Genomic DNA, 22,141 nt, shown 5'->3' with positions numbered 1-22,141 from the left:
GAGCAAGACTGGGGTAAGCCAAATAGAGAAAAGTCAGATATGTGACTGCAGGGAGGACAGCAGCTGGCTGGGTCAAACAATATAAAAATGATGATGTTGCCACGTCACAGCCAATTTACTATCTTTATTGACTTAGAGGCAAAGTGATTTTCACAAAATTATGAGAGATCCTGAAAATTCATGACTAGACTTGTCAGAAAAAAATAATGCAAACATTCTGGAAGTTTTCTGACACACAGCCTTTTCCATCTGAGTTACATCCAGTGACAGTTGAAGGGGCCGCCCCTCATTCCTCAAGAATAGGAATGTTGACACAAGTAGGAATTTAGATCAGGGACCCTCCAAGAACACCAATAACAATTCCATCTTCATTTAAAGTTCCTTTAAACAAAAGTAATAACAATGGAAGACATTCTCAGCTTCAATGCCTCTATTGTTTATGCTGTTTGCAGAATAATACCTGGTAAGGAATCGTGTAATTGTAAAATTTAAAGATAGAACTGGTTTGCCAGCAAACGGGCCTCAATTTGAGTCTTTCAAGTTATGCATTTAGAGTTGCCACAAAATGTTGATCTTTGATCATATTTAAGTAAAAGAAAGTTAATAAGCACCATAAAATAAATTCTATGAAGGCTTCTCAAATATCCATTGCACTGGTTAGAAACAAATGAGAGAACACATTCTATCCAGCGAGTAATCAATGACTTCTCATCAGCTCTTACTATTCAAAAACCAAGTTGTATGAAACAAAACATCTAAATAAAACCAACTTTAAACTACTTGACTCTATAATGAACATTTTTCTGTATAGATTCATAGTAAGCACTGGTGCATTATTTATTTATCCCTGCCTCAACTGTTAACTAAACCATTGACTCTAGGTAAACACCTGCTCTGAACAAAGTCCCTGTACCAGATGCTTTGGGGATAGAGGTAAATGACATGGCTGCTGTCTGATATACCAGCAGAGGGATGAGTTAGTAGCAGCTAATTACTAGTCACTTATATTGAAACATCCCATATCATCTATGCCTTATTGATTCCTACACCTGGCTCACACTCAGCTTTCTGAGGTGCCTTCTCAAAGGTAACTTCCTATTCAAAATAACATTTTCATATTCACTACCTCTTTTCCCTATTTATTTCTTCTTTACACATACTACTACCTGACATCGTATCATATTTACTCTGTCTTCCAACACTAAAATGTAAGCTCCTTGAGGGTGGAGTTTTGTGTGGTCCCTCACTACATCTCTAGCACACACATTTTCTGGCACTTGGCGAGCATTAGATATGAAAGCCAGCAATAAATACTTGCTAAATAAAGCTGTTATGAAACAGAAATAACCACAACAGAGAGGGGATTGGAATTTTCCATTTGCATCTCAGGATCTGTCCTCTACCCCCTCTTTACCCTGTTGTGTGATCTGTGCCCTTGCTCTTCTCTACAGATGACATCAATAGGCTCCCTCATGCATGGTGGACTCCAGTGCCTTGATCTGGTGCCATTATCTAGCTTGGTGAATGTCACCACCATTCACCCCATCTTCCATTCTTCTCAACTGAGTTCCCAACCTTTCCAACTGAATTCCCACCTCTTCTGTGTGGATGGGATGGATGTTCCTTGATTGATAAGAAGAGCACCTGCTGCTTATCCCATCACTGCATTTACAACATGAAATTGTAGTCATCAGTTTCATCCTCTCATAGTCTTTCTCTCTCTCGCTACATACACACACCAACTCAAATATAGGCTACTAGAGGGGAACACTGTTCTGTTTCTTTACCTTCTGCAGGAGTATGGTGTTTAACATTTACTACTCAGAGGACTATTGGGAGATTGAGTGGATGGATACATGGGTGAGTGAGTGGGTGGATTGACATAACCCTTCCTTTAAGTCTCTCAATTTAGGCTTCTGTGATAATCTTTTGACTTTTCACTGATCCTTTCAAAGTCCTCTTTTTTTCTCTTCTCAGTGACTAACAGAATACCCTATACATTGCATTTGCTTAATGATTTGGAAACATCCAAGCTGAATATCATATTTATACAGAGTAATTGTATTCATGTGTTGTTATGCTTCAGTGGACTAATGGTGGTCACAAATGGAAGTTAGGATCACCTGGGGAACTTCCTGATGCCCAGACTTCATCCCAGATCAATTACATTAGGACACCTCAAGGTGGGATCAGGATATCAGTAATTTAAGAAAACAAAACAAAACACTCTCCCTTTCCTTCCGACCCTGCCCCACACTGGCAATTCTAATGAGCGGCCAAGATTGAGACTTGATCCTGCAAACAAACCCTACATTCATGCTTCAGTCACTCAGAGACTCATTCCTTTTTAGCAACTGAGAAGAAAACTATTTCCAAAGTAAAATTAGGTCCTACTATTTCCCAACCTCTTCTACCTCAAGCCCCACTGAAGCACTTCCCCATCCCAGAGCACTCATCCTCTTTCAGCGTTGGTTGTAGGTCGTCTGCAGGAGTACCCTTAACTTACCCCTCACTGCCTCTTGTCATTTGCACCCATCCTGGATTTGCCATTCTTCTTTTCTGCCCCATCTCTTTCAGAACTTGCCCTACTCTTTGTCATAGCAAATTAATCTTCTCCCTATCTACTTAACAACAAATATTCCCTAAACTATCAGATTTATTTTCTCCCTCCTTTCACCTCCAGACTTTGGGGAAGAATTTACAGTCATTTTAGCCTAGTCTTCTGCAATTCATTAATGTTGACAGGCTCATCTTCCTCACCCACCCCTTGACTGAAGCAGTTCCCTCCAAAGTTTTCACTAATGTCCATATCCACCAACATCTTGCCAACTCCCATTTTCCCAAGACCACTCTGCAAAATATTTGGTCTTTGTGTCCATTTTATCTTATGACAGTGAACTCTCCTGGTTCTTCTGCTGACTCCTGGAGACACCTTCTCTCTCTCTCTCGGGTTTCTTTACCCACTTCCTGGCACTAAATGTTCACATCACCTCCTGGAATCTCCCCCCGACATTGTTTTCTCTTCTGTCTGTCTCTTCCTCAATTACTACAGTTTTATCTCTGACTTCCAGTTAGAGACCTCTGAAATCTATTACCATTAGTTCTGATTCTTTTCCCAGTCTAATCAGTTTTATCTTAATTCAGATGTCCCCCACTTCAAATAGGTTTCTGGATATCCCCGCAAGATGCCTTCTCTCCTCTGCAACCCACAGTACTTTTAACGTTATAGTTATTTGCTTATTTGCTTTAATCCCTTAATTACAGTACAGCTATAGTCCTTAATCAGAGATATTCATAAGAGTCTCTTGATATGCCTTTAAAAAATATTTATTTCTCAGCCCACCCCTAAAGGTTGTTGCTCTGAATCTGCAGTCGTGCCTGTGCAGCTGTTGATTTTAAAGTTTCTGGGGGTCACTGTGACAAGTACCCGCAGTTGAAGAGAGTGTATCGATGAGGCCTGGGCTCTTGAGGGCAGGACTCTTATCTTCTGTAACCAAAGGTTCTGGCACAGGGACAGGCACGGGGGAGCAGCTCAATGCATGCCTCCTGGATGGGGATTTCATATTAATGATATTCAACCCATCATTCCTTTTCCTAGTGTGGATTTTATCTGGCCAATCTTGAGTTCATTTTCCACTCCGCTGCTTTCAGAACTCACCTTGCCCTCTTTCAACTCACTTGCCCTCTAGAGGCTTTGCTCCCCTTTAAGTCTTGCAAGGATTCCTGGTAGTATAAAAACTTCTCAGCAGCATTTCTTCTTTCCCACCACATTCTTTGTGTTTCCCTGACTATTCTATAGCTATGAAGTCTCCCATGTTTTTTCCTCTCTCTGACCTCTCAATTCTTTCTTCTAGTCTACCTTTCAACTTCTTCTAAGGCATCTTACCTTTCTACTATTAAGGACTGGTATGTCCCTCACAGTCTACAAGTCAAAAGTAGACTGCAGGAAATGAAAACTACTAGAGAAAAAAAAAGAAATCTCTCTCTCTTGTATGATCCTTCATCCTATAAATACCATCTCCAATTCAATTCAAATTAAATCAATAAACATCTGCTGAGTATCTATGTGCCAGGCAGTCTCTTAAGCCTGGGGAATAAAATGTGATCAGATATCATCTTTGTCCTCCAGTTACAGGAGGTTGGGCTTACAACCAAATAGGTAAAGCTGATGTGTAAATAGATTCTTAACAAAATATAAGATGTATCACATCAGACAATAACAAGGTACAGGGGAAGAGTAAGAGAGAAAGACATTAGTTCAACACTGAGAGTTGAGTAGAGATCAAGGAAGACTTGAGAGAATGGATCCTGTGTAAGTATCAAGTGAGCAAACTTGATTGTCATTGTCAGACAGACAATGACAGGGAGAGCTTCCCAGACACATAGAACAGCAGGAACAAAGGTAGGGGTACAGGCAACAGCAAGGTACTGTGGCTTAATCAGGGAAGGGCGGATCCTTGGTTTGGTGGGTTAGAGACATGGACCTTGAGGAGGGCAGTTGGTAGGAGAGAGAGGCAGAGAAGTAAGCCAGGATCAGAGACCACAAATGACCCCACAAGCCTTGGCAAACGGAAGCCTTGGAAGGGTTTTAAGCTGTGGAGTGACATCACCGGATTTGCCTTCAATTCAGCACAGCTTTTAGATTATCCTAGAACACTAACACTGACCTGAGCCCTCATTTACCCTCTGTGAATTCAGTTGTTTTTTCAAACTTGTAAAAGACATAAGATCATTTCTTAAAACATAGGTGTGATGTGATGGGCACATATGTATTTTAAAAGGATCTATTTTGTTAAATAGTTAAAAAACAACATGGCCAGGTGCAGTGGCTAACGTCTATAATCCCAGCACTTTAGGAGGCTGAGGCAGGCAGATCACCTGAGGTCAGGAGTTCAAGACCTGCCTGACCAACATGGAGAAACCCCGTCTCTACTAAAAATACAAAATTAGCCAAGCGTGGTGGCACATGCCTGTAATCCCAGCTACTAGGGAGGCTGAGGCAGGAGAATCACTTGAACCTAGGAGTTGGAGGTTATAGTGAGCCGAGATCACGCCATTGCACTCCAGCCTGGGCAACAAGAGCAAAACTCCGTCTCAAAAAACAAACAAACAAAAAAAACAGGGATCTGCCAAAGTGGTTAGGATTAGAGTGCATTTATTCTCAAAGGGGCATTAAAACCGCTATAGGTGAAACATAAAAACATTATGTGCCGGCTTTATCAATACATTCAATCAGCATGGCAATGTGCCTTCTGGAACTCAACCATCTCCACATCCCCCTATGGGGTGCTGAAGGTCACCATACCTGACTTTATCTCTTGAACTTTTACAGGAGGCATCCAGTCAGTCAAGAAATAACTCAGTGTATATAATTAGGGCAGAGTTGCTGCAGGGAAGGAGCTAGAACCATCTGGGGTTTGCAGAGCCAAACAAGGAGGAAGAAAACTGTTCACATAGCCCAGCAAACCATCCGTTATGCTACAGAAAGACAAAAACACCCACGTTTCCAGCACCTTTTCCATGTATAAAATGTATGACTGAATGTGCAGTGACAATTAGTATCAGTTATAGGCAGGTGGCAGACATTCTGCTAAGGATGACAATGTAACATACAGCAGACAAGATCACAACACATTTAGAGTCAGAAGGTACCGAGTAACAACCACCAGTGATAGGGAACAAACAAATAGAAATTGGAAAGTCACTAAGGTGACTAAGATTTAGATACATATTTGGATGAATTAGTTGACACTAATATAAGCACATAAATATGCATTCTTTTTTTTCCACAGTGCTCTTGGGTCTCTGTGTTCTCATAATGATTAAGGACGGGGCAATGATGCAAGCTGACCTGGGTTCAACTCCCAGCTTCCTTGCTTCCTAGCTCTGTGACTTTCAGCAAATTACTTAACTATTTTAAGTCTCAATGACCCTCTGAGTAAAATGTGGGTAATATAATGTTACCATATAAAGTATTATGGGCATTATCAAGATAAAATATAATATAAAATGCTAATATAGTCCTTGGGGGAAAGGAAGTGCTTAAAAAGAGTGAATAGTAATATAAATGATTATTATTAAACTTTTATATACTTTCACTATAGCCCTTAGCATATTACATTTTATTTAGTAATTCCCATGCTAAATTAGGGTTCCATTAGTCCTTTGTGCCATAGGTGGCGGGCACATATTGTGTCTATAGTCATGACAGTGTTAAAATCCAGGCTGGACTTTAAAATGTCACTGGCTCATTTAGAGTTTCTCGCCTGGCTGACTTCTTATATGTTCAACTTCCAGACTTTTTGCTCTGGAAGATTTCTCCTTTTTGTCTTATGTGGCCTCAAGTGCCGTCGTGAGTCAAAGGACCTGGGAGCTAAAAACAAGTAAAGAGGGCTTTTATAGTGTTCAGTATTCTACATGAATCTGAACTGAATCTACTGAGAGATGCTACAGATCTGTGTAAATTTATTTCTTCATGTACCAACTGTCAGTCTGTGGAAGTTCATAATGTGTGTGTGTGCGTGTGTGTATGTGTGTGTGTGTATATGTGAGAGAGAGAGAATGTGTGTGTCTAAAACATTCCCCTCCCACTGAACTTCATTTGATGGAGTTATACTTCACCCAGATGGCTCCACTAAGAACAGGTAAATGGAATCTTTCAGGAGCCATATTCCTTTTCCATTAGAAAAGTAATTTTAGCTCCAGAGACTCAGTCCCTGAAATGAAGATGCTGACATGAAATGTGTAGTCCTCAAATGCAACGTGTGCACTGAAATGGTGCTAAGTATAGCTCTGGGCCAGGAAGAGAAGGATCATATATCCTGTATCTAATATGATCCCAACAACAGCACTACCACAGCTAATCAAATTAATAGAATTCTGCTGAGCCCTGCATTATACCAGGATGGTTGGCTGGATCAAACTTGACTCCATTTATTTTATTCATTTTTCCAGTAAATTCAAGGGAAAGGGGATTCAAAATAGAGGGAGCTAGGAGTATTCAAGATGGCTGGAAGGACCCAGTTCTTCAAAAACCTCACCCTCACATATTCTACCCAGCACTGATGCATTAGGTTAGAGGTGGACCATTTGCCTCACCTTTTAGCAGCCTCAGCCACACCTTAAGTGAATTATTTTTATCGAATCAATACTTCTCTGAGAAGGGCAGCATTGATAGAGTGGCACACTTGCTGTGGAAGGTGAACTCTGATATAAAGATTGGACTTGGGTTTGCAGAGGTGGGGGCGCAACCAAAATGGAGTCAGAGGAAGGTGAAAGGGCTCTGGTGCTTTTCAAAAAACACAGACTAGTGACTGCACCAAGGGGCAGCTGAGGAAGCTTCAGCAACCCCCAAAAATCCATCATCCTACCTCCCCACAGCCACCCAAGTAAACACACAAACTAACTCAGGGGTTTCAACACTGGCTGCAGGTCAGAATCACCTAGGGAGTTTTAAAAGGTACACAAGGCCAATTGAAGAAAGACATCAGGGCATAGGGCACAGGCTTAGGTTCCTGGTTTATTTTTTAAGCTCCCAGGGTGATTCCAATGTCCAGCCAGGTTATAACTCACAGGTCTAAGTGAACGCAATGTCTGTACACTGCAATCACAGCTTCAAGGCAATTCTTAATGCTTCCTTTAACCAGTGACCACTCTTATCTTCAACCAATGTAGACATTGTGGAGTCAGCAATGGCATGGGTGGCCTTCTCTTCTGAGATGTGAGCTAAGGCTATTAAGACTAGGGTAGCATGCTGAAAATCCCAGTCTCTTTATTTCAGGTAAATCTGGCCCTTTAAAAACAAAAATTTGCCAATCCTTGAACCAGGTGACAACTATTCAGTCATTTCTCCTTCAAATCTAAATAACAACAGCAGCTACCCTTGACTGAGCATCTTCTATGAGTTGGACACTCTTTGAGATGCTTCAAGCATATATCACTAATGTTTGTAACTAGATAGCAGGTATTATTGTAAAATTGCAAATTTCTAAAATCTAGACTCTCTCCCTTCCTCTCCACATGCACTGCCACCATCTTAATTCAAGCCACCATCAGTTTTTCACCAGGACTATCACAATAGCTTCCTGCCTAGTACCCTGCTTTCAATCTTGTCCCCTTCCAATTTATTCTCTATCTAGTATCCAGGGTCATCTTTGGAAAGCAGAAAGAGGCTTGCTTACAAGCTATCAGAGGCTTCCACTTCTCTTGGAATAAAAGCTAGACTCCTTTCAAAGCCCTGCCAAGTCCTGCGTGATTCAGCTACTGCTCCTACTCCACCTTCCTCTTGCGCCCCTCTTCCCCTAGCCCACCTCAGGCTCAAACCACACTGGCTCCTCTCCACTTTGAGAGCATGCTAATAATTTTTCTCCTACCCTATGCCATCAAACATGTTTCCTCTGCATAGAATGCTTGCCCTCACTCCCTTCACTCCTTCAGGGCTAGGCTGAAATATCATCTGTAGAGAAGCCTCCCTCTTCATCCCATCTCAGCCCTCTCCAATGGTTTTCTATCACTCTGCCCTGTTTGTTTCCTTCCTCATACTTACTGTAATTTGTAAGTTTTTATTGTAGAGTTATGTTTTTGTCTGTTTCTCCCACTAGGCTGCCACTGTGTCAATGACTGGGGCTTCATCTCTTATACTCATGAAAGTACCCAGTGTCAGCACAATGCCCACTACCTAGCCACTTTGTAACAAATATTTATTGCATGAATAAAGAATTCCATTTTACAGATATCAAATAAGCTAATTTACTTGCCTGAGGCGACAACTATTATAGAAATCTCTCAGAGGGGAAAAAAATTCTACTAGGCTTTGTATAATAATCTCTAAAAAAAAGTATCTTGCTTATCCTGAAGACCTTAAATGACTGTAATTGTCCCGAATCTCCTTTGCTTCACACATAACCTAAGCCACAGCTATAACCGCCCATGAGCTAAGTATATCCAGCTGGTAGTTTGAGGTCAAGAGGATTTTGCAACAGTGGAAATCTTTAAATTGCTTAAATATGCTTGTCACAAAGCATTTATCTTAAGTGCTGTCTACCTTGCCCAGTGGGAAGTCCCTGTGTTTTATCAAGTAGCAATCCAGATGGGCTACTGGAAGGGATTTTCCTCTGGCAAGGGGGCATGTGGCCACTCATGTCAGCATCCACAAGTCTCCTCCATTGCCATCTTGGGCATTGCAGTAAACTTTTGATGGGTAGATCCAGCAGGACTTTCTTACCTGCACAATTCTGCTGAGGCTCCCAGTGGACTTTGATGCCCTCTCTCTGGCAGGCCCGGGTATATGCCAAAAATGACTCGCAATAACAGTTTTTATGGACTGGACATTCACACATGTCTGTCACACAGGACCTATAGGACCCAAAAGAGAGATAGAAACATTTAAAAATATCAAACCATAAACACCCTAAATATAACTTCAGAAAGGGTCGTAGATGGGAAAACCTGATTGGCCCATTAAAATTTGCTGTTTTAGACTGGAAATCTAAATTGGCAAAATTCTGTGTGGAACTTAAGTGCTGGATACCTTTGAACAGTGTGATATTAGATTTCCTTTCCTCTAGAGCAAGATTATCCAATAGAACTTGCTGTAAGGATAGACATGTTCTAACATCTCCACTGTGCAAAGCCACTCTCCATATTTGGCTACTGAGCACCTGGAATGTGGCTACCACAATGGAGGAACCAAGTTTCTAATTTGCTTTTATTTTAATTAACTTAGATATAAATAGCCCAATGCGCCTAATGGCTACCCTACTGGAATACCATCGCCATCTTGTGACAAGCACTGATATAAAACTAATAGACTTTACTGCAATGTTTCCAAAAATGGTAACCAACTTGATGAAAACACAAAATCCCATGGCTTTCTGAAGACAGACGATTAGAATTCACTTCTGTAATATCTTAGAATCTTAGTCTTTTAAGGAACACTGAATCTTCATTCTTCAGAATGTAAAGTGACAAATTCTAAATAAAGCAAACATTTCAGGTCTCTAATTAGACTGCAAGATGAACAGAATTGAATCAAGGTCTCTGCAGCTGAAATATGGAAATGATGGACCAGGACATAAATTGAACGGAAATGCAAACTAACAAATTTTTAAACATGTTGACCACAAAGACATAATAATGGCCTTACATTAGTGTATAATATTACAGTTTACAAAATGCTTTCACACGGAGCCTGTCACTGGATGGTAAACAAGGCATAATACAGTTTCTTGTTCCATAAATGAAGGGGTCATTTTACAAATAAATACATGGGCCCAAAGTCAGCACTTTTAAGTGGAAAAGAGCAAATTAAATTATATCTCCCAGCTTTGAAAGAGTGTCCTTTTTATTATACTACACAACAATCTCATCTTCTTCTTTCAGCAAATTTACTGCCTAACAGTTTCCAGTTAACATTTATGCAAGAGGCCTCCAAGACTAATAAAATTAAACTATCCTTATATTTTTCACAACCTTGTTCAGCAAACTCCCTTCCTCACAGAAGCTATTCAAGGCTGAACACAGAAAAAATAATATCCAAGAGTACAAGCTGCACTTACGATCTTGAAAAGTGATCATGACACTGCCACTGGACACTATAATGTCATTTTCCCATGGTGTGGGACCTGTGCACAACTGATTGTCGAGAGCAGTCAGCTACCTCTGGGTATAAAATCGACACACTGTCTGCTCTAAACAGGAATTAAACAGCAAAAAACAGATTCAAGGAGCAACAGACCCACAGTGAACCCACAAAGTTATTGCAGCCCAACACTCAAGGGCACAGTTTTGGGAAATAGGAAAAAACAGGGACAAAAGAGGAACAGATGTAAAACCCAAAGAGCCTCCTTCCATGTCAAGGACTGAGAGATTATTTGATGAGTGATACCTAAGACACGATAACCAGCACAGAAAAAGAGATCTTTCTTTCTTTGTAGTAATCATGGTTGTACTTTTTTTTTTTTTTTTTTTTTTTTGAGATGGTGTTTCACTCTTGTTGCCCAGGCTGGAGTGCAATGGTGCGATCTCAGCTCACTACAACCTCCACCTCTTGGGTTCAAGCAATATTCTTGCCTCAGCCTCCCAAGTAGCTGGAATTCAGGTGCCCACCACCATGCCAGGCTAATTTTTTGTATTTTTGGTATAGACAGGGTTTCACCATGTTGGCCAGGCTGGTCTCGAACTCCTGACCTCAGATGATCCACCCACCTCGGCCTCCCAAAGTGCTGGGGTTACAAGCATGAGCCACTGTGCCTGGCTCAAGATTGTATTTCTTAATACTTCTCCCCACTTTTATTATAGAAATCTTGGGAAATCACCTTCACTAGCAAATGCATTCAGGCATTAAACACAGTCTTTACACTGGGTAGAGACTCTGGAATTCCAAAGAGAAGCCAAATAAAGCTTGTCCTTAAAATGGCGTCTAAATGCCAGTGTATGAATCTCCCTCAATGTCATTTCCCTTTGTTGTTTCAACTTTCATTTCAGAATAACCCACACCCATCATATTTACGCTCAGACTTCACAGCGACATTTTCGGCTGCCCCAGGTTCTAACCTGTAATCCCATTCCTACTTCACTTTCCCAGTAGAATTTGTTCCCCATCCTCTCTCCTGGCCCATGGGGGTGGGTCTCTTTCTGTATACACGGCTCCCACTGCCAAGACCTGGATGGAATGGCATCTCATGGACCTGGTAAAATGATGGCACATATATGGGAAAAGGCTGGTCTCAGTGTGAGGAAATGTGTCCCCGGATTTGAGTGAATGTCTACTGTAATTCTGTAAAATTCCATGGACAATAAACAAATAAAATGTAATTTGTTCGGGTAAGGGGATTGTTAGTGAATGCTTTCCTTTTCTCTTGATTTCTACGTGTCTTATGAAGCTATTTACACAATTGAAGATAAATTACAGACAGCTAAATCCAATCATTGAGACTGTTGAGAGAAAATGTTTTCAGCACACATTGAATAACCACTGTGTACATACACTCCACCTCACCCACAGACAGGTCCCTCTGTCTCCACAGACACAATCAATGATATGCCGTTCTGTAAAACTAAGGAAGATGTGAGCTTTTTATATGATCAACCACTCATGGAGAACAATGTGTGAGAGAAAAATATTTGTCCAAGCCAGACCTTTACTTGAAAATGTTGTATGTATTTTTATAGGCTTGAAATATGTGTTTTGTCTCGGAAGTTAAAATTCATAAATGTTGTTTTTCACTTATCAAGTTGATGATTTTTACATAAAATAATGAACAGAGTTTGTGACAGAATGGAGAAGCAGTCATCCCCCTGCCCCGCTGGCAGTGGTGTGAAACTGCCAGCTTTTACACAGAGTGTTTTTCAGGGAATGTCTCCTCCAGTCCACATGGCAATGGGCTATGAGGCAGAGATTTTCACTGCTCCATTTAATAGATACGGAAGCTGAAGCTTGAAGAAGTTAAGTAATTTACTCAATGTCACAGGGCTGATCACAGATCCAGAACTGCAAACCTAGGACGACACCTTGTTTTTTTCTGATCTCAGAACCCATATTCACAGTAACTACATTCGATCTTTCTAGAGAGCAACTGAGTTATATTTATACACAGCCCAGAGAAAGGTTCTTACTCTCTGATGAAAATTTTACACCTAAGGAAATAGTAATGCCTGTGAATATAGGCTTCAAACCTAGGAATTTTCATCACAATGCTATTTAAATAGAAAAAGAAAAGGGAAATAACCTAAATTATCCATAATAAGGGCCGAGCTAGATAAATTCAGGTGACTTCTGTGATGAAACACCCTACAGCCATTACAATGAAGTTTTGAAAATATATTTTTAAATATGAGGAAATGTTTGGGAAGGATTAACTGAAAAAAAAGAGAAGGATAACAAAATTGTGTTTCAACATCGTGTCATCACACAATGAAAACAAGAATAACTGAAAACAGATACGACCAAATCCAACGGAAAGCTCGGTGTGGTGGATTGCGGTTCTCCTTAATTTTCTTACCTGTATTTTCTACATAGGCCTGATTCCTTTGTTATTTTGCCAATTCTGTTACAATAGAAACCCAAAGAGTCAGGCAGGCACTGTGAATACATATCACTTTTCTAAAAAGGGAAACATCACAGTTTACTTTTAATACTACACAAAAGAATATCATGAAAGATATTAATATTGAAATCAGAATTTCAGAATGATAGTGGGAAAGTAAAGAATGGGAGTAAATGAGAGCTTCTATTTGTAGGTCTTAGTTATTCAACGTTCCTCCAGCTAAAATCTGCCCAATCTGTATTTTGGCAGCCTCTTGATACAGACTTCGGCTGGATTCACTTTGCGTTGCCCTCACACTTGTATTTCATTGGTCTACTAATGTGGTGGTGGAATAGATAATGGAATAATTTTGCATGCTTCTGTTGGTTACAAAGGAATTTATTAAGAGAAAAATAAAAGCATCTTCAAATGCACTTCAAATTTTAGGGAGGGACAAAACAATTGTTATTCAACTATTCAATTCATGTTTATCACACTTCATAATTCAGTGTGAGGAAAATCTAAGTTATGACACAGTGAAGTTGAGTTCTTCTGTGTTTATGGAAGATCGTTGTCCTTTTCTTAATCAGTATGCACCCATAGTCTACATTTATATTCATTTTACAGAATAAGTAGCAGAATTTTATCACTTCTGGGAGTGACTGAGATTTATGGCTTTGGTACCTCTGCTGTCATGACATTGTTCTGTCACATTTATGTTCTGTTTGATGGTGAGTTGGTCAGGAAACACGGCTGCCCAGTGTGCTCCAGTGGGAAAACACAGGTTGCATTACTCTGAGCTTTTCCAGGAAAGCTCTGCAGGTGAAGAGTGCCTGCCTGACTGGTTTCTATTGTAACGGAATTGGCAAAATAACAAAGGAATCAGGCCCCTGCAATCCCCTTAAAGCATACTGTCTGTCACAGGAGCTTCAAATTAATGTATCTAGAAATGGTTTCCTGATTCATCTGCCCCACTCCTGGCATCTTGCCTGGCAGCCAAGAGGTTCAGGGTTCAGGTAGGACTCTTGTTCTGTGTGGTTAACACAGCTGCTCAGTGCCACAATAGGGCAAGAGAAGGCCCAGAGCTGCTGCAGGGGCCCAGGGAGCTGGCACCAGGCTGGGCAGCGCTTTGTCACACATCCACTACCTCCCTTCTCTCAATGTTTGATGTTTGTGTGTCATGTTTCAATGACTCCTTGAAGGCATGTTTTAACCCTGTTCCTCATAGCACTCGGCACGGTAGTGGGATCAGAACTGACCTGTGGTCAGTTCCCTCCCTGAAATCCAATTAAACACAACTCATCTGCAGAGAAGCCTTCAGAACTATTTTCCCGCATCAAACTACAGCTACTGCCTCCTGAAAACTCTACACCAGAAACCATTAGACACATGTGGTTATTTAAATTGGAATTTAAGTTAATTACCATTAAATAAAATTACAAGTTCAGTTTGTCAGTATCATTAGCCACATTTCAAATGTTCAATGGCAGCAGGTGCCAATGGCCCCCATATTGGACAGAGTGGATTGAGAACACTACCATCACTGAAGAGAGTGCTATTAGATGGTGCTGCCAAGAGTGCAGCTCCATTAGCGCCAGGGAATCCATTTCTGTCCTCCTAGAGGGATTTATAGGTATACTGAGATTAGGATCAAGCTCACCTCTGATTGGGCACCTACAAAAAAAATTCAAAGTTCTTGGCATCAAATTCAAGGTTCCTAGCAGCCTAGACTTCAGCCTACTTTTCTAACTCCATTTCTTTCTTCCCCACTCATTCTTTTACCAAATCATAGAATGTCCCATCAACCCTTGGACTTCCATCCACCTGGCTATTCCTGACTGGAAGGTACTTCCAGGTCTTTTCCACTGGAAAAATCTAATGTCTATCCTTTAAGACTTAATTCAAATTCCTCAGTGGTGCTTGCCAAGTGGCCCCAAAAAAGTTAGCCACTCCCTATAGGGTCCCATGTCCTTCATACCTTTCTTATTGCACAGATCCTTTGAAACATCATCTCTTTTCTTTCCGGGGGACAAGGACTGTGTCTGGCTTATCTAGCCCCCCAGCACAGTGCCGTGAACACACAGCTCAGTAAATATTCAGTGAATCATTCAAAGAGTGAAAGAGAGTAACCTCATGACCTTTTCCCAGCTTCCACAGGATTGGACAGCTGGACACTGATATCTGAAGGACATGAATTCCATCCTTGCTCCCACTCTGTGGCCACTGCTTAATACGGCCAAGGCCACGGGAGCTGTTGGCCATAACAGCCTCTGAACTAAGCTGCTTCTGCAAGAACCTTTCTGCTGTCATTTTCATTTTGAACTTATTGCACTCCTCTCCTGTCTCCAGAGGAATTTTTTTTAATTTAATGACTGGTGGAAAAAAAGGATTTGATGAGAGGATTCTGCTTTAACCACACATTTTCAATAAAGCACATATTTGATATAAGAAAAACCTATAGTTTTTCATGTTATTAAAAAGGCAAACCTCCAATACTGCTAAAATCAAAACATCAAACACATCTATGCTTCCTAGCAACAGCATATCCGAGTGGTTTCCCCTCTGCTCTCTGCTTTCTCTGGCACAAGGGCCATGCCTGTCAGACAGAGGCAAGTGCCTCTGCTTCCCAGGCACAGTTTTGAACGACAGATGTATTACCCACTGGGCACCCTCCACACTGCTTCTTGGAGAACAGAAGGGCAAGCCAGGAGTGACAGGTGCCAGCTCCACCTCGGAGCCAGATATCCAGCGTTCTGGCTGTTTTCTCTGCCACCACAAAGGGTCTTCAGCTGGACAATGTTTGTCAATCTGAAGGTCAGCTTTCCTGGGAGCAATGGCAGGATCAAGGCAGAACGCAACAGTGCAAGGAAGATAGCAAGAAAACCACCATTTGGTCATATGGCTTTCCTTGTTCCACATATCTAGGAAGGTCATAGAAGTGAGTGAAGGCATCTTAGGTTTATTGGTACCTGGGCATCAATGGAAAACAGGGGAGGGAGAAGATAGGGAAGACAGAGTCCTAGCTGAGTGAGCAGAAGTGTGGTTAGCTACCATAAGCCTATTAAAAAACTCACATTTTAATCCTTGAAATCCTGCCCTAATTTCCCTAATCTGAGTTGCATGGAGACAACTAAAGGTAGTAGCCAAGGTAGGAAGGCACATCCATGTCACATTATACCTATGAAAACAATGTCATCCAATATCACGCTCTTTTCCTCAGCCCTATACAGGCACGTTCACACACTCATTCTTATCCTTCCATCGAAGGGGTACAAAAAACACCACTGTCACATGAAAAACACGGCCAGAAGCTTCAATCCTGGGAACTGTGAGGCTGTTTTATTGAGCTGTCAATGAAAGGGCAGGGCTAGCCTGCTGGGCCAGCCAGCAGGGAGCTCCTGCTGCTCTGTCCACGGCTTTCCTGGGCCAGCCCCAGTTTGGCATCCCTGTGGCTACTGTCCATGCTGGCTTAAATATTGTTGAGAATATTCCAGGTTCTATGGCTGCCTGGGGTTGCCAGGACAGAACAGCAAGTCCAGGCATTTTCATTAGCTTGTGGATTTCATAACCTTCATCTGGGGAGACAGGGCAGGAGGATACCTGGAACGGGAGTCCAGCCTGTTTCTCTGGTTGTAGATATAAAAGTTATCTCCGGTTCAGCTTTCCCAAATTCTCCCCTCATCCCCCTATACTCAAGTTAAATTGTTAGCCCACTCCTCAGTGAAAAGAAGGCACTCATGGAGCTCTGTTTGTTTCAGGCACTAAACAAGGTACAGAGGCTAACAGAGATGGGCTCCTCCAAGAAAACAGGATTGTGCAAATACTAAGAACCAAACTCCAAATGACATAAAGACTATTATGAATGAGAAAAAGGAAATTCTAGGCTAAGGGAGGTGCCTGAGTAGAGGCACAGAATTTCCAAACCACCAGATCTTAGATTTGATAGTCATGTGGTCAACCTCCCAATATCAAAAACAATACAAAGCAAAAAAAGTCCCTGACAGAGAATCATGCAGCCTCTTCCTGAGACCTCACAGGACAGGGGGCTGGTTTTCCTGCAGGGCAGCTCAGCAGATCTGCTGGTTATGACATTTCTTTCTTCTAGGGATCCAAATCCTCATAATCTCCAGTTAACTCTCAGGTCTGACATCAGGAGCCACACAGAATCACTCAATGTGTCCCTGCTCATAAGGACTCTTCAGTTACCTTCCTGCGCTCCCCTGCTCAGCCTTGTATTTTCATCTTCCTGCCTTCTGTGTTCCTCCCTCCCTGTCAACTGCTTGCTTCCCGGCTTGTCAAGAACAAAAATCCAACAACCAAATTAACAAGAGAAAAACCTACCAAACCATTTTTGTTCATGATTCACAGTGAATCTCTTACTTGATTGCCTGCCCACTGTCCCTACCTTATATACATTGCTTACTTATACATTCCAACACTTTTTACCTAATTTAGACGCTCTCCAATTACTAAAAATATTTATTTTTAAATCCTCCTAACTTTCCCCAGGAGGTGAATGGCATTACGTGCACAGCAGCACACAGGAGCTCCAGAAATGATCATTCACCTCTGACCCTCTTCTGAAGCTATGGATTGTTTTTGTGGAATAATGTAGGCATCTGTGGACACAGAGACCTCCTTTAAGGAAGTAGCAATTCTTAGGATTTTTCATGGATGCCAGCTTTGGAAGAAGCTCCACATACTTGCTTTTAGTAGAGGTACGCTTTTAACAGTGACCAAACAGCTATCACGCATGTATGGAATCTAAAATATTTTCTCCCTTGATAAGGCCATATATCAGACCATATGTGAAGAGTATAATCTTCATGCCCACAGTTAAATTCTCGCCCATCTAATAACGGGGAAGGGATGTGCACCATTTTGCTATTTTCTCTATACCCAGGGGCCACATCTTTAAGGAGCCCAAAGCCAGAGACTATATAACCAGTAACCCTTAGAAATACTCCTGTTGGGAAGTTAAGCTATCTTTGCTCAAGTAGGAAACACTGGCTTCACGGAGGGAAAAACTGACCATGATTAACAGACTTTTGCTGAATTGTCACTCTTCTAGAGATAACGCCTCATTTCACTTTGGGCCCCATCCTAGCAGAGCCCGGCAAATCTTGCAAGATGGTCTCAGGAGCTGGCCAGGGAGAGGGAAGCTTGGTCACGACCCCCCTCTAGTGGCCGAGAGTTACTGCATGAAGTAACCATAATTCTTACTCCAGCATTTGCTTCTAAATCAAACAACTCACCTTTTTGGAGGCTGGCTGATAAAAAAGAACATAAAAATGGTGCTTGGCAGAAAATCAATCACTCTTCTCTTAAACTTGTGCTCAATTCATCACCGTCATGCTTACTGTAAAACAATTGTAAGGCTGGTGAACTAAACCCCTGTGTAATCCTAAACACCTACCCCTGATGCCTGCCAAGAAGGGTGAGTGCATCTGAGGCAGGCTTCTGGAAAGGGCAGGGCGAGATGGGCCACCACCAGGAAGAAGCCTCTGCTCCGTCCACCTTTTTCAATCTTTTTTATCTTTTTCACGAAATCTCATTTCACCTATGTACTACATCGAACGTCACATATTTTTTTGTCTCTAAAAAGAATCTCAAGTACAAGAGAGTCGGAATCCTTCACCTAAGCAGAAGAGAAACATTCTTTACCACTAAAGGAAAAACTAAACTGTTTTTCCTGCTTCCACACGCTGACTCAACACAGAAAGCTTCGGTCACCAAAACATGTAGGGACTTCTCCCCACTAACCACTAGTTCTCCAGCGGACACCAACTAGATGTCCTGAAATTTAACTCAATTCTGACACTATCTACTGGAGTTAGCGTCAGATCCCACAGCAAAGGTCCCAGTCCCACAGCACTGCTCCCCACTTTAGATATCAATCACAGTCCCAGGTTGTGGCCTGTGCTTCTGACCAACCGGTTTATAAATCGGAGTTTCCACAACCCCCTTCTTGGATCCAGTTAATTTGCTGGAGTGACTCACAGGACTCAGGGAAACACTTAAGTTGCCCAGTTGATTACAAAGGCTGTTACCAAGGATACAGATGCACAGCCAGATGGAAGAGATGCACAGGGTGAGGGTGTAGGAAGGGATTCAGAGCTTCTGTGCCCTCTCCAGGCACACCACCTTCCAGAACCCAGGCACACCACCTTCCAGAACCCCTGTGTGTTTAGCTATCCAGAAGCTCCCCAAACCCTGACCTTTGGGGTTTTCGTGGAGGTGCCATTACATAGACCTGATTAATTATATCACCAGCCATTGGTGATCAACTCAACTTTCAGCCCCTCTCCCCTCCTTGGAGGCTAGAGGGAGAGGCTGAAAGTCCAACCCTCTAATTACATGGTTGGTTCCTCTAGCAATGGAGCCCCTCTCCATCCTGAGGCTGTCCAGGAGCCCCCCAAGGATCATCTCATTAGAACAAAAGATGCTCCTATCACCAAGTAAATTACAAAGGATTTAGAAGCTCTGCATCTCTCACTCCTACCATTCAGGAAATTAATTGCAAAGGTCTTAGGAGCTCTGTATCAGGAACTGGGGTCAGAGACCAAATTCAAATTTAAAAAAAAGATTTCCCTAGTGCCCTTACCTACACAGTTTCAGGAGCTCTATGTCAGAGAGCAATATACACATTTCAATATACACATTTCACATCTACCAAGTCTGAGGTGGTAATACCATCAGGGACCAAAAGTATCAGCGTGTTGCCAATATTCAGCCACGTCTTGGGGTAAGCCTGATTCTTAGTTTGTAAAGTGATGGGGTCTCCACAGTACTAATATTCTGTGATTCTGTCAAGATATGAACTTGCCCAGGGCTCAGCTAGCCCCAAAACTAGGTAGTATATGTATTTTAAAAGCCCCCAGCCCAGAAATGAGAGAGGGATCTTTACCCCAAAGAAACTCACTGTCTCCTTTTTGGTGAGCTCATCTCATCATAATTCTACTCCCAACATAGATACATACCGTCTTTGAAATTGTTCTAGTCCCCTCAACAAACACCAAGAGAATATCCGCTGTGTGCAACCTGTGGGCTGGGCATTGTGGGAAATGCAGAAAGAAAGAAGAACCTGGCTTCGATCCGGAGGCCTTTGGGGCGTGGTAGGGAGAGCAGGGCAGAACTGGCTTCGATCCTGGGGCCTTTGGGGTGTGGTGGGGAGAGCAGGGCAGAACTGGCTTCGATCCTGGGGCCTTTGGGGTGTGGTGGGGAGAGCAGGGCAGAACTGGGCCAGGCAACACTCAAGGAGGAGTCTTGAGGGCAACATATTAAGGGGGCACTAGCTCTCAGGCTCCAGTAAGTACAGGGCTGGCACTTGAGAGCAAATGCCTTCTTCAATGTTGCTTCTCATGTCTGGGCCCTAGAGGAGAAGAAAACATGCCTACACAATTGTCCCACGGCATAATCTACTCGAAGAGGCAGCAAGGTAAGTGATCACCACACCAAGATTGAACCTCAATTGTGTTATCTTGGGCACATTATTACCCCTTTCCACATTCTCCTTTCCTTGCCTAATCTCTCCCTTAGGGTTCTCAGAAGGTAAATGAAAATCTGTATTCTCCCCTTCCCCCAACGAATCCCTAAAGAAAAGAGCAAAATTCATCCATGCACAGAAATGGAAATGGTTAGAGGACTAAGCAAAACAGAAATTGCAGCATTCCATCTCCAGCCCCACTGAAGTTCAGAGTTTGAAGGATGTGCAGGAATTGAACTTTGTTCTTTCTTTCCTATCACCCTAGGGTGCCATCCCCCGGGATGCCAGCCCCAGCATTGTCTCTAGTCTTCCCATTGGCAGCCGAACAATACTAGCCTGGGTTTGCCTGTGTTGGCCATGGCCACCTCCAGAGAGTGCAGTAATTGGGAGTGTGGAGTCACAAATGGCGGTGAGGAAAATTTATGAAAGTGAAGGCCTCTAGCATCTGGAGGCCACACCCCAGCCACACGCAGCAGTCACCACCAGCCCCCTGCTTCAAAGGGGCCGATCCTTCCATAGGCCTTTTTCACATTAGGCAGTGGATGGCTGCCAAGTCCCACAAACAGGCAAAGGCACAAATCCTCCACTACGTGCATTAATCAAAGGGCGGCAGAGGCGGCTGCCCCTGGAGGATGCGGTACAGTGGTGAACTTTTTCAGATGCTGGGGGCCTTGCATCAAGCATCTGCCGTGCCTTTTGGCTCCACAATAAACCAGCATTCACATCCCATCACTGCACAAGAAAGGGTCTTTTCACACTCAATGCCCTTTGCAGCCTTGGCTGCCGAGGGATAGCTCAGTCCACTGGACCTAAACAGGGTGCTACCCGTCCCAAGAGGCCCACCCCCACCCATCAGTGGGGCTGGCACGCCACCATCCTCAAATCCCAGAAAAAGGACTCCATGACCAGACATTCCCCAAAGCCAAATCATAAACACCACAGGCCTTCCCCTCCATGCCAGCTTCCCCACACCCTCTGCTAGAATGAGAGCACCCTCAGATGAGCCCCTGAGAGTTGGAATGTGAGGCCTGTTTTCTATAAGCAACTGCAGAGATAATTGCCTAAAAGGCCCCAGAACACTGGCCCAGAGGCATCACATGATTTTCTCTTTTTACCATCACATTACTAATAAGTGGCAAAGACAGCATTCAAAGCTGAGCCCTCACCCTCTCCCCTAAGACAGGTCGCCTTCTAAAGCACATGCTGTTCCTTCTAGCTGGGGTGTTCTTCCTCCCCCTTCTCCTAGTTAAAATCCACTCCTCCTTCAATATGCAGCTGAGTAGCTTTCTCAGGGAAGGTTTCTGAGATCCCCAGTCTAGATAAGGTTGCTCTTAAACATTCTCCTGGCATTCTTGCATGGCCCTTATCACACCCTGCAACTACACCCCCATGGGAGCGATCCCTCACTCCATCTACTCCACCATGCCCCAGGGCTGGCAGGTGTTGCTCACCAATTTTCCCCAGCCCTAGTGCAGAGCCTGTTCTAGGGTACATGCTCAAAACCTGTTTTCTGAATGCATTACTTACAGATGTTTATATAGTCAAGTCCAGATAAAGCGACTACTAAGTGACAATGAGATTTACAGGGTTAAATGGCCTCAAAGTGAAGGAGGAATAGGCATTCCATGGA

At 42.7% G+C, this 22,141-nt stretch overlaps 1 protein-coding gene across 4 annotated transcripts in view; it reads right to left on the bottom strand.

The window, feature by feature from the left end:
- Nucleotides 1–22,141, bottom strand: part of BMPER (BMP binding endothelial regulator) — a 251,513-nt gene that overhangs the window by 3,844 nt on the left and 225,528 nt on the right. For all 4 annotated transcript variants that reach the window (NM_133468.5, NM_001365308.1, NM_001410872.1 and 1 more), the window contains one exon: nt 9,224–9,354. In NM_133468.5, the coding sequence (NP_597725.1) occupies nt 9,224–9,354 (131 nt within the window). The remainder of the gene's footprint in view (nt 1–9,223; nt 9,355–22,141) is intronic.

This window comes from Homo sapiens, chromosome 7 (assembly GCF_000001405.40).
Source record: "Homo sapiens chromosome 7, GRCh38.p14 Primary Assembly".
Taxonomy (NCBI): Eukaryota; Metazoa; Chordata; class Mammalia; order Primates; family Hominidae; genus Homo; species Homo sapiens.
Note: the sequence above shows the minus strand (reverse complement) of the source record. Positions and strands in the feature narration are given on the sequence as shown.